Below are 13,677 nucleotides of genomic sequence, written 5' to 3' on the forward strand. Positions count from 1 at the left end.
AAATCTGCTCTAGTGTGTCCGAAAATGTCTTTATTTTGCCTCTATTGTAAAAGACACTTTCAGTGAGTAAATACGTTGACAGTTTTTTCCTTCAACACTTTGGAGCTATTATTCCATCCCTGGCTTTGCTATTGCTATGAAGAAATCAGCTATCGATCTAGCCATGGTTTCTTTTTAGGAAATCCATCCTATTAATCTGGTTAATTTTTGGGTCTTCTTTTCTGTCTAAGGTTTCTGTCGTGTCACACAGTAGGTAGATGAGAGTGGTTTCAGTCCAGCCTTAGTCCTGTATGGAATTTATTTTGCACTTCTTGAATCCGAGGATTACTTTTGCATACATTCTGGGAAATAATCAATGTTTATCCCTTCAAATATTGCCTTTACCTCACTCTTCTTGGTACCTTTTATTCTGCTTTATTTTAGTTTTGGGAATTTCCATTACTTTCTTGTTGGTAAGCCAAGCATTTTAAAAAGATTTTTAAGAAATATTTTTATTCAATGTTTTGGGTGTCTTATGAAATATTTTTTTTTCATGTTACGGTTTCGCTATATGGCCAGAAACGAAATCACTCAGGACTTTTTTCCTTTGAATGAATAACTTTCTCCTCACATTAAAGATCATTGGCATGATTCAGAAGCAAGCTGTTGATCCATGAATTTTAAGGTCATGGATCAACAGGGTTCACTTGGGAAAACAGAAGCCCATCCAGGGATTCCAAGGAGGAAGGGTTTCAAGGCTTAGGAAGCTGTTGAAAAGGGAAGGGCAGTGAAAAATAAAGGAAATTTCAACCAGATGGGGGTGATTCATGGGAGCTCACCAGGAAGCTGCTACAAGTGTCAAAAGTCTTCATGAACTGCTATCATTGATCTCAGCTACTCGCAGGATGAAGTGTGTGATTCCTAGGTGCTTTTCCAGAAGCCACTGCTAACCTCATGTCTGCAATCTTCCCACACATCTATTTGAAACTACCCACTAGGGAATAATGGATTCTCTTCCTCCACACCTCATGAGAATGCCTCTCATTGGCTGACTGTTGCCTGGAACCATATGGAGAAAGGGATTCTAGCAACAGTGGGTGGCTCCGGGTTTATCCCCTGCAACGCAGAGGAGAATGGAGAAGAGGCGATGGTGATTCCAAGTCAATAACGATTTGCATGGGTCGTTAATGTATCACTGATAGCACTTTATATTGCACATGTAATATATTTGTTTCTGATAACAATGCGGAGAATTAAGGATGGTAAACATACTTTGCCTGTTTAAAGGAACCCAATATCAAGAGAGGTTTATTAATTTTTCTGAAAGCACACAGCAAGGCAATGGCAGAAATGGAATCAGAGTTGAGGTTTTCTGGTACTTAATTCTTTTCATGAACTAGAAAACAAACTTGTCAATTATTTTTACAACTTGGACATAGAGCTAAGAAATTTTGCTCCTCCTCACACCAATCTGACTTTTAGGGATCAAGCTCTAACACCTTTATTTCTAGTAGCTTATCCCTTTCAACTTTTTAGCCCAAGTAGACATTTTAAAAATGTGAAGGGGCATTTGTGAATAGATTTGAGTTACCAGATGGTCCATTTCCTGATGACCTGTACCTGAAGATGATTAGGTTATATGCATTGTGCTCTAAACGTCACCATCTGAAAAAAAAGAAGCCACTAAATCTAAGGGTCATTCTCATTGGACAGGCAACTCAATCTTTCAGTTGTCAAATATTCAACAAATATTTCTGAAGTGCCTTTTTTTGCCACACTTACAATTTCTGTGATCCTGATGATATTTTAAGCTTCTGACTCTGACATTAGGTTAGTGAAGTATTATTTTAAAATATGTCAGAAAGAGTATGCATATTAATTAAAATGTTCCCATATATAAGCCTTAAACTAAACTCCCTGTGCCAATTGGAGACAAAAGACCTTTATTAAATACTGTTAGATAGGTTAAGTATTTTACTATTTCTGCCAATCACTGCTACAAAATAATATTCATTGTCAAGCATGAAATGGGTAAAAAAGGAAATCTCATCTTATTATCATCTCTTAGAGTCACATGTCCTAAGATGATAGCAAAACCAGCATTTGCAAGCAATGGCCACATCCTACTGCTCCTGATCAGTAGGCCTGTTATCATCAGGGCTGAATTCTGTTTCAATGCCAACATAATTACATTGCTGGTTCTCTGAGCAGATAGAGGGAGGATGCACCAACACACCCAGAGATTTTTGTGTTAATCGAGGTGCTCTCAAATGGCATCTGGGGCCATTTTAATTGTCAGCCCCCGTTAAAAGTTTGCAAGTACACTCTGCACTCAACGTAGAATCCCTAAGATCAGTGATCTGAGTGAGAATCAACAGAATCCCAAATTTGAGCAGACCTTTTACTCACACTTCAGTAGATACTGGCGGGTCCCCCTGTCTCTCACATGGCTTAACATGCATGAGCTTCCTAGAGACAGAGCTCTTTCTTGTCCTCATTTCTGCACCCCTCTTTAGTTTTACCCCATTGTAAAGTTTTAGAGGAAATGATAAATCCAGCAAATGCATGAGAGTGACAGAAAGGGGATGAAGCTAAGGTAGGTAGGCCAACGATAGGTTGAAAGAGTTGAAGAGACTGAGGAGGGAGATGGCAAAACAAGGACCTTCTCTATATAAATGGACTTGGATCTTGGATTGGGAGAGGAAGATAAAGGGCAGAGCTGAAAATTCAGAAACTCAAGATGAGAAATATCTAAGAGCTAAGGATCCACGTGACGGACGTGTAATACATGGGCAAGTGTAATTACACTATCAAGAGGACTACCAGGAAATGCTCTGCAGAATTATTCCACTGGCTGGTAATCCAAGGACCTGGAGGTGGGAGGAAGACAGAGGAATTGGACAAATTCAAATTTCCAATTAGGCATAAGTGGCTTCTTAGTAGGCAGAGAAGATGATGAGACCAGGAACAAGGTGTGGGGGCTGGTTGAGAACCTGTCAGAAGCTCCCTATTCAAGGCAAGGACGGAACTCCACAGCCTACAGCGTGTCTGCCTCTGGGGTTATTAAGCAACCAGAAGCATGGCAGGGCCTTTTCTGTGCTGGCTATTTAATTAGGAAGAGGAGTGTCAGTACTAACCTGGCAGAGAAGGCGCTCTCATCCGCCCAGCAGGCTGCTCTCGGGGATTTTTCACGTCTGTCTTGAGATCATGGGAGTTTGGCTCTTTCCTTCCACTTAGATTTTTAGTTTTTGCTCTTAGTATTTCAGAGAGATTTAGGATCTTCTGTTATGAGTTTCTCCAGCCTGGTTATTCTCCAGCATCAAGTCATTCTTCCCGTTGGGGTGTTACACATGGTTGCCAAGGATGTGAGCACTGGTTGATTCACACAGGAGAGGGACTCACCAGCAAGCCCTCAAGGTCACTGAATAATTTTAATTACTAAAATTCCTAGTAACTTCTCAGAAGACATCTATACTTTTTTGATCACTAAAAACCTTTGACCTTGATTGAGAAATTAGAATTTTTTTTTTTACTGGTTTTCTTCTGTTTAAAAAGCAGCCTGTTGATAATAGGAAATCACTGAATAATGGAATTTTAAAAATATGCTACTCTTGAGCATACATTGGAAGTTCTTTGAATTGGGATTAAAAGGAGGAAAAAAAGAAAAGGCATGCTTTCATCATCCTGGTCCCTGCTCTCCAGAGATGAAGAAAGCAAACACAGTGAGTGCCTGGTCCTAGCTATGGAAAACCACCAGTGGACTGGTCGTCCTCTGGACGTGTTCACTATTAGACTTTCCTCTGTTTAGCTTAAGATTTCTTGAGAGGCAAAATGGCTTTATTGTGATTATTCAGGTAACTCTGCTTCCTCATCCCAGTTTAGCTTCTGATTTCACTGTGGCATTTAAGGCACTCAGTGTCTCAGTGTTTCCCAGGTAAATGACGGAAAAGATTCTGACCTACTCTAGGTTAGGAAGTTAGTGGAATGAATTTTTTAAAAAAGGGTGGCTAGAAAGTTGTTTCAAAACAAGGAACCACCCATCAACAACACTGTAATGCTAAAACCTGAAATGATATCCAAGTAAATATCTGGGTGTGGTGAATGATTCCACTTTATTTCTGCTCGGGAGCTTTGGTACATGTTTGGCAATGCTCTGAACAAGGGCCTTCCCCTTGGGATGCCATGGAGACATTCATACATTGGCTTAGTTTATGTATCTCTATTCTCCCTAGACTCACATGAGAAGTTATTTCCCAATACTATTTGCTGGTCATTGTTGCCAGTCATGTTTTCTCTTTCTCATGTAGACCTGGTCTAGAATATGGCAAGAGCAGATTTTAGAATGTAATGGTACAAGGGGGTTGGACCTAGTGGCTCACATCTGTAATCCCAACACTTTGTTAGGCTGAGGCAGGTGGGTCGCTTGAGCTCAGGAATTCAACATGGTGAAACCCCATCTCTAGCAAACACAAAAAATTAGCCAGGCGTTGCATGTGCCCATGTGCCTGTAAGTCCGGCTACTTGGGAGGCTGAGGCTGCAGTGAGTGGAGATCATGCCACTGCACTCCAGCCTAGGTGACAAAGCGAGACTGTGTCTCAAATAATAATAATAATAATAATAATTTAATGGTACAAGGGATGGGGAATCACAGTTTGGTGACTTGATGTGAAACAGTTGCTTTTGAGATTGTGATTTTAAAGACATTTCATACGCCCTACCTTGGAAAAGTGTCATTTAAAAAATGCATTGAGATGTTACCATTGGGGGAAACTGGGCAAAGAGTACACAAGACCTCTATGATTTCTTACACTTACATGTAAATCTACAATTATCTCAAAAAAAAGTTTAATTAACAGTGAGTTAAGGAATAGAGTAAAGGAAAACTATGCAGATAGTAGATGCTGGCTATGTGTTTATACAAAGATTATGGAGGAAGAAATTTATTTTTTTTTCTGACTATGGGACTGGGCTTGCCTTGAGTAAGGGATGTATTAAGCACATGAATATTAGAGAAAACACAGGTTTATGACTTTGGATCATATTCTAGACCCAGCTCTATCACTAATCAGTTCTGTGGTCTTGGGAAAGTTGAATAAACTACTCAAACCTCAGTTTCCTCTTCTGCAAGGTGAGCGGTTTGTAGAGATTGAGGCATTTCAGCTCTATGATTCTAGGTTGACATTTATGTCTCCAGGAAGCAACACAAGGGAAGATGAATTAGGGCTCACTATTTGATAGCAACTAACACTGACTCAGATCACAACCAACACAGATTACAAGCAATTTACAAAGATAATGAATGTTGTATTAACAGAACCAAAATGGGCATTTTAAGTGTGTATCAGAAATATATTTTTACTCTCTTCTTCTTTTGCCTGGAAATCAGAATAAAGGAAAAATAATATACAGTATATTTCCAGTGTTTCCCTACAAAAGAAATGTAGAGTCTGAAATTCAGGGAGAGCTTTTGATTTTTGATTTTTTTTAGTAAGTCATGGAAGTGATTCCAACGCTAACCCACCCTATATGATGGCAACATCTCTTAAATCCCCCCAATCTTTTACTCTCTAATTATGAGCACTTGAAGGTAGAGACTATTCCAAGTTCAAAACCTTCTATCAATCTCCTTTGCCTACAGAATAGAAACAAAATCCTTAGCATTCATGCCCTTCAATATCTGACCCCACGTCTGTTTCTCCTCTTTGATATCTTTTCCCCTCTTTGATACCTTTGCTCTTGCCAAACTAACTGTACTAGGTTAAATAGTGTCCTCAAAATTCATGTCATTCCTGGAATCTCAGAATGTTACCTCATTTGGAAACAAATGCAAATGTAATTAATTAAGATGAGGTCATACTGGAGTAGGGGACCTTAAACCAATCTGGTTGGTATCCTTATAAAAAAGGAGAAGAGGCACAGAGGCACATATCTGCAAGGAGGAAGAGGTAAAGACAGACACACAAACAGGGGAAATGTCATGTGATGACAGGGCAGAGACAGCAGTGATGTGTCTACAAGCCAAGGACTGCTGGCAACACCAGAAGCTGAAGAAGGCATGGAGTAGATTCTCATCTGGAGCCTTCTGAGAGAGTATGGCTCTGCCAGCACCTTGGTTTCGGACACTTAGCCTCCAGAACTGTGTGAGAATACATTTCTGTTAATAAAGCACCAGTTGTGGTGCTTTATTATGGCAGCCTAGGAAACAAATACACTGATCTACTTACTCATGGTGCCCTGAGCCTGCCTTGGGCTCAGACATTTCTCTCCTTCGGCTCAATATTCCTCATACTTGGACATCACTTGCTGTCTTTTCTATCCAACCTTTGAACTGCAGCTCAAATCTCCAACTCATTCATCATCTGTTCTAATCTGTGCAGTGGGAAGTGACCTTCCCTTTAGAAGTATGCTCATGGCATTCATTGGACCTTATTCTGCACTCTTTGACAGCATCTTGTGGCTTGTTCTTTGACTTTTTATATTTTCATGATGGGAATATTGTCTTTTATCCCCTGCTAGGCCAAATGGTGCCCACTCTGTGCCCAGCACATGATGAGATTTTAATGAATATTGGTTGTTGGGTTAATGCTTTGGCAGTGGAAGCAGAGTCATGCAGCATCACTCTTTAAAACGAGAATCCCCGTATGTGTAGCTACGTGAAACACAGCCTCCAGGTTTTCTCCATGGTCTCTAAAGAAAGTGGCTTTTTTTTCATTCTCAGCAAACTATCGCAAGGACAAAAAACCAAACACCGCATGTTCTCATTCATAGGTGGGAATTGAACAATGAGAACACATGGACACAGGAAGGGGAACATCACACACCGGGGACTGTTGTGGGGTGGGGGGGGGGGACGGATAGCATTAGGAGGTATACCTAATGCTAAATGACGAGTTAATGGGTGCAGCACACCAACATGGCACATGTATACATATGTAACTAACCTGCACGTTGTGCACATGTACCCTAAAACTTAAAGTATAATAATAATAAAATAAATAAATAAATAATAATAAAGAAAGAAAGTGGCTTTTTAATACCCTACATGAAGCACTTCAGGGTGGTGTTGGTACATTGAGAAAGTGGGGCAAGGTGGGGCATTGATTCTGGCTGCAAAAAGGAACATCTGGTCACAATCCATTGGTCTGCTCTGTGATAGTTCAGAAAGCATGCTGTCCCATGTCTTGGAGTAAATAAAGCCTTTACTCTCTTGCTTCTCTTCTTCTGATCAACTTGCCCTGCTCATGTTCCAGGCCCGTGTTGCAGAGAATATGATTGAGGCCAATATTCCTTTAGGCAGTATGGAGGAAGGGCAATCCTGCTCACCTGGCAGGGAGTGAGATGGGGCTGGCGTAGTGACTCATATCAAGTGACATTTGCAAAGGGAGGCCTACTGTTCACTAGCGAGATGCCAAGCAATGTCTTTTGTTGGGCCCCTTGGAAGACTGACGTTTAGCCAGCAATTCTCTTTGAGGGAACAGGGGCAGAGAGGGGAAGTGGAAGGGAAGAGGAGGAGTAGAAGAACCTTTTGGAAAAACCTGAATTTGACACTGTCAATATTTGGGAATGTGCTGTCACCTTTATCAATATCCTACTGATCACTACTTATCAATATCCTTTGAGATCTGATACCTCCTTCTCTGACCAGCCATTCTGAGCTTTACCTTTTCTACTTTTACCACACTTTGCATCTGTATCATACAATCTCTATCAAATTATATATGTAGTGCCTTACTTTTTCTATTGATAGGTAACTGCAAAACTTTTTTTTTTAAAAAAGAAAATACTTAGAATAGAGGTCATTATTACATGAGTTTTGCTATATGTAGTGTAAGACAGCCTTTTCAAAACTGGGGTGAAAAGGGTTACAATGCAGAGACCTAGGTTTGCATTCAGTGGTGTTATCTTATAGCATAGGAGGCTGAATAATGGTCCCCAAAGATGTCTATGTCCTAATCCCTGGAACCCGTGAATATGTTGATATGTTACCTTGCATGACAAAGGAGACATTGAAGATGTAATTAAATTAAGGATTTTAAGAGTAAGAGGCTATCTTGAGTCATCTGGATGGGTCCATTGTAATCCCAGGGGTCCTTATAAGAGGGAGGTGGGAATGGCAGAGGCAGAACAAAAGGTGATGTGAAGATGGTGGAAGCAGAGGCTGCAGTGGTGTGCTTTGAAGGAGGAGGAGGAAAGGGCTATGAGCCAAGGAAGGTAAGTGGTCTGCCTGGAAGAAGTAAGGAAACAGAGTCTCCTCCACAGACTCCAGAACGAATGCCACTCTGCTGGTACATGGATTTCCTCCCATACAATCCATTTTGAACTTCTGACCTCCAAACGTTAAGATAACACATTTGTACTGTGTTCAGTTACGAAATTTGCATTAATTTGTAATAGCAACAAGCACACTACTCTGTTCTCTCACCTTGTTTATTTATTGTGTGTTTACTGCTTATCTTCCCCACTGGGATGTGTGTATAGTCCACAAGGACAGAGCATAACCAAGGCTCTATCCTCCCCCCACACACTCTCAAAACTGCCCTTGAACAGGTCACCAGCGAGTACGAAATTGCCAAGTCCAGTGGAAAGGTCTGACTCGAGTCCTCTTACAAGGTCATCATATTCACCTCTCAGCAGCTTTGGACATAAAATACTTCCTCCTTCTTGAAACATTTTTACACTGAGCTCCAAGAGACGACACTGCACTGGGTTTCCTCCTAGCTCACTGGCACCTCCTTCACGATCTCCTTTGTTGAATCTCCCTCCCCTTCCTCCCAAACACTGAAGGCTGGAGTATTCCAAGACTTAGTCTCCTGGAATATCTTATCTAACCATAACTACCCCCTAGGTGATTTTATTAAATTTAACTTTAAAAACAATCTGCATAATGAAGATAATCAGATGTATGTCACCATCCCAGAAAGCTACCCTACATGTGTCCAAGCTACAGCAAGCAGTATGTCCAGCTGCCTGTTCCACGTCTTGACATCATTATCTAATAGGCATCTAAAACTCACGTGCCTAAATGGAACAATTGATTTCCTTATTCACAATCCTTGCACCTCCCAAGCCTCTGTATCCATACTCCTTCCCTGTGGCTTAGGCTAAAAATATTTTCTCTTTCTTTTTGCCATATGGATTATTAAGTATATACATGTATGGTAGGGAGGGACAAAGAAGGTGTCCCTGAAGAGGTGACTTTCTATCATACTCAGAATAAAATGCAAACTCCTTGCAAGTCACATGAGGCATAATCTGAACCCTGGCTACACCCTCTTATCTCCTCCCTCCTCAATCTGAACCAGCCATGCTGGTCTTCTTGTTTTTTAGAGATGCCAGTATTTCCTTGGAGGCTTTTTAAAGTCACTGTTCTGCTGCCTGAGCCTTTCTTCTGCCAGAATGTCCTGTGGCTGTTTCCTTCACCCTATCCAAATTTTTATTAAAATATCAGCTCATCATAGAGGCATCCCTTGGCCACCATAATTTCCCTGTACGCTATTAAACCTGCCTTTTTTACACAAACACACCCACCCACACACCACTCCGTTCTCTCGCCCTATTTATTGTGTGTTTACTGCTTATCTTCCCCACTGGGATGTGTGTATAGTCCACAAGGACAGATCTTTTCGATGGTCTTGTTCATTGCTGCATTTTCAGCTCTTAGAATAGGGCCTTGTACATAGCAGGCATCTGATAAATACTTTTTAGCACTTCCTTATGTTAAAATCAAATGTCTTGCTTATTATTATACATCTTAGCTATATTGCATATTAGATTAGGTATATAATATCTCTTTTAAATTTCTTAAGATTAGGGACCATATTTGATGTTTTTCCTGTCACCCACATAAGGACACAATAGCCCAAAGCACATATGAGTGATTTTCAAATGAGTGATTCTTCATTTTGTCTTTTTGATTTGAACTCAGCAATGGAAATCATCTGGGGACCTTCTTTTCAAGTGTATGTTCAGTTATGTCAGGTGTTCTAGGTAAGAGGCCCATAAATGGAATTTGGAGGGCTCATGAGCCTCCTAAAATTGTACACAAAATTTTATGGGTATTTGTATTTTCCTGGAAAAACAGTCTATAGATATTTTCAGGTTCACAGAGGAGCCTCTTCCCTCAAGGTTGAAAACCACTGAGTTGTACCAAGGTATGTAGACTGTGGGTGACCTATGCCCAGGGCTGGGGCTGAATTGAGGGTGAGGAATCAGGAAGGGTGGGAGGAGTTTGCAATGCTTGGGATGAAGAGTGGCTGACCTTACTCACCCCCACTTAGCAGCCCAACAATTTCACACCAAGCTTATGGGTGGCAGAGAAAAATCTGTGATTGGGTCAGAATGCTAATGATATCATCTTGCATGCTATGACTGAGGGAGAAACTAGAAGATTTTAAGTTTTACTCCCTGGGCATTTTGACTTCCCAGCACATCCCTGGGAGACGGCTCAAAGGCCATCCAGGCCAACTAGCCATGCCTTGCTCATGAGTTACAGTCAGGCCAGGACAGGTAGGGCACAGAACCCCTCCTGTCCATGTTCTTCCTTCAGCAATAACCATGTCCCTCCGCCTAACACCAGTATGCCACTGCCTTGTGTAAGCATTCACTCACTATTTCAACTTCGTGTGTGTACATTAGACTCAACCAGATTTAAGATTGCTAGATGTCAAAACCCTCAATAAATATCAATCATAGTGTCACACGCATAGTGGTACTTAACTGCTCTTTTTCAAGTGAATAAATGACAACATATTAAATAACTAGGTGGCTGTATCTGGGACTTTCTCCAATTTAAAGAGCCAGGGAAGGTCCTGTCTCTCAATAGCAGATTGTTTTGAAACCCCCCTTAACATCAATGAAACTTTTTCAGTTCTAAGACTCTGTGATCATGGATTGAGAATAAGCTAGTGGATCTTGGCTGGGAATTCTTAAGTTTTACATGAGAATACCTTACATTCATGCAGTCCTTGACAGCTGTTGAAGTTTGCACACACGTTCTCAATAATCATGTACTATTTTCAAAGATAGAAGGGGCTCTGAGGAGTTCTCTGATCTATTTCACCTCTCCTTTGGGGCGACCTGAACAATTTAGGTTGATTTCCAGAGAAATAAGTCCCCCAGCTCCCCTCGGGTTAGGATCTGATAATTTTCTCAGTTACTGAGAGTCCTCTTACTGCTATTTAAATCTGTCTGCTCTGATTCTATCTTTAGTAGGCATTTAGATAAGACCTGAGGAGTTAATGTTTTCCTGGCAAAACCTGAAGGGCTACTTTGCTGTTCTTTCCCTTGTTTTATGAAGACTGGAGAACTGCTTAGCACTAAAACAGTCAGATTGATCTACTTTAATTAAGGTGCCCTGTCCACGGTGGATGCAAATATCTCACTGATGTTTCTATTTAGTCTGAATACACAACAAAGGCAGGAAAATGTCTGTTAGAGACACAATGTGCTTAGAACAGTCCTGCTGCAATGACAAGTTTCCAATGAGCTGCAAGGGTTGAGCTGGGAGCAGTCCAAAGACTTGATTAATCATGAAGGTCCTACAACCACACTGTGTCCAAGGGGAGAGTGGTATTTCTTACTTTGACAGATACTACTCATAACAACTGGGGCAGCATCATAAATGGCAATGGGGAAAATATTCCAAAGCTAAGGCTAAAATAGCAAACACAGGGAGTGTTGAGAAATGAAAGAAGCTTTCAGGACAGCATGGCACTGGCGATGGAAGGCAATTGTTCTTCTACTGTGGAAAGGAAAAAGGAGCTGTACAGGGGACAGGGCCAGCCCCATGCAGAGGCACCTAGTACCAAATGCCCAGCCGGACTGCCCGTCATTACTCTGGCTGCCATAGTGGTGATTTCCCAGAATTGTATTCCTTCCTTTGGACTGTCATGGACAGGCACTGGCAAAATGTGGGAAATGTTAACAAACTGACACAGTAGCAGCCATTTCTACCATGAGTTCACACTAGTATTTAAGAACTTGGCAGAGAACATTCCTTGAGGCAATAGGCCAAGAACATTTAATAGTGAGGACAGAAAATGTCCAGAACAAGGAACACAGTCTAGAAGACAGAGATGAGATATACTTATTAGGACACTTAATTTGGAGCAGACACCAAAAGAAGGCAGGAAGTTTGGGAATGACTGTGTTAGGGACACCTGAGGCCAATTTTGCTGATACCAACATTTTTCCTAAGATGGATCTGTTGAGAGTTTCTTCAATCAAACTAAGAGAAACACAGAAACATCTGTATATGACCTGGGGTAGCTTCCTCCTCCTCTTCTCTCCTTGTCACCATTGTTCCACTTCCTTTGACCCTTGCTCCTTTTCTCTGAGGGATTCAGGTTACTTGAATGACCAAAGGGCAAGGGGCAAGGTCCACAGCACCCCTCAGCTTGTGAGGCACAAAAATATTTAAGCATCTCCGTTGCACAGTATCTGCCTTGCTAATTAGCTCACGGATGTGATGTATGTTATCCAGCTCTCTGCTTCCAAAATTATCACAAATCCATATGGCTGTTTATTTAGCAAGGTCACAAATATTGGACACCATCATCATAACTATTTGAAAGAAATCCAACTTTACATCAACCCTGAAGTGGGGGGGAGATGGTAGTCATTGTGAAAAAAGCTACAAGATGAGCACACAAACCTTGAGAAGATGTTTGCTAGGTGCATTTGGCACCACATAAAAGATACTTATAAGACTCTGCTTTGTTATTATTTTAGTAACAGCTAGCTCAGCCAGTAGTTTCAAATCTCTTCATTTTCTTAGAATTTTGGTTTAGTAGCATACAGATGAGGATTCTTTTTTTTTTTTTAAGTAAGAATTCACACTTTGCTGTATTGATCAAGCAAAGCGAGGTCCTTTTGATTGCCTGGTGAATTAGGAAACAAAACCAGATCGAATCACAAGTTCTGGACTTACTGCAGCAAAAGGCAACGAAGGGTGCATTAGCCTCGGATTTCCATCCTAGCTGTGCCTCCTATGAGTTCAGTGGCCTCAGGCACATCACTTATCCTCTCTGAGCTTTTATTTTATCTTATTTTTTCATTTGTAAAAATCAGGATTATAGTAGTTCTCTAAAGAAGGCTGTGTGAATTAAATGAGCCCATACCTGAAAAACATGCTTTGGACAATATAAAGTACCATTTCTTAAAAAAAAAAAAAAAAAAAAAAAGCAGGAATATTCACTACATCAGTGTCTCAGATTAACATTCATGGGAAACTGGGAAGGTGAAGAGTTTGACAAGAAAAAGTTGAGAGGAGGAGGGTTCCTGAGAGGTCAGACTTACGTAAGGTAGTTCTGGTCCTGAACTCCAAAAGAGTTCAGAGCTGTGGTCTATTAGTCAGTCAATCATCAATAACTGACTGAGCACAAAATTTAAGCTGAAATTAGTTTTTTTCTGGAGACTGGGGCTTGTGGCAGGGGCAGTGTTAGTGGACTGAGTTGCTTTTCTGAGTTGGTCATCTTGTGAGTTTTAAGACCATGGAAAGATGGGCAAGAGTGAGGGTGGAAGAAAGTCTGTGAGTGAACTTTTGAGGAGTCTTGACATGCCACTTCCTTGTGCCTTTCCCCTGGTTTGTTTTTTTTTTTTTTTTTTTTTGAGGCAGAGTTTCACTCTTGTTGCCCAGGCTGAAGTGCAATGGTGCGATCTTGGCTCACTGCAACCTCCGCCTCCCAGGTTCAAGCGAT

The 13,677-nt window shown here is 41.0% G+C and overlaps 1 protein-coding gene across 8 annotated transcripts in view, besides 1 other annotated feature; it reads right to left on the minus strand.

Annotated features, from left to right (window-relative positions):
• The window catches only part of ADTRP (androgen dependent TFPI regulating protein), a 65,281-nt gene that overhangs the window by 38,234 nt on the left and 13,370 nt on the right, over positions 1-13,677 (minus strand). The window contains exon 4 of one of the 8 annotated variants that reach the window (XM_047419419.1): positions 3,157-3,351. The exons of the other annotated variants lie outside the window; for them this stretch is intronic. Within the exon in view, the coding sequence (XP_047275375.1) occupies positions 3,304-3,351 (48 nt within the window). The 3' untranslated portion in view covers positions 3,157-3,303. Of the gene's footprint in view, positions 1-3,156; positions 3,352-13,677 lie in introns of those variants that run through there. 8 annotated transcript variants of the gene reach the window in all.
• Positions 11,560-11,802: a silencer, noted in NCBI's record as "fragment chr6:11763549-11763791 (GRCh37/hg19 assembly coordinates)". NCBI's record gives its function as "represses an EF-1alpha promoter that drives an FKBP-Casp9 reporter gene in an ReSE screen in HepG2 liver carcinoma cells {active_cell/tissue: HepG2}" and the evidence as "EXISTENCE:reporter gene assay evidence [ECO:0000049][PMID:32094911]".

Source organism: Homo sapiens, chromosome 6, assembly GCF_000001405.40.
Source record: "Homo sapiens chromosome 6, GRCh38.p14 Primary Assembly".
NCBI lineage: Eukaryota > Metazoa > Chordata > Mammalia > Primates > Hominidae > Homo > Homo sapiens.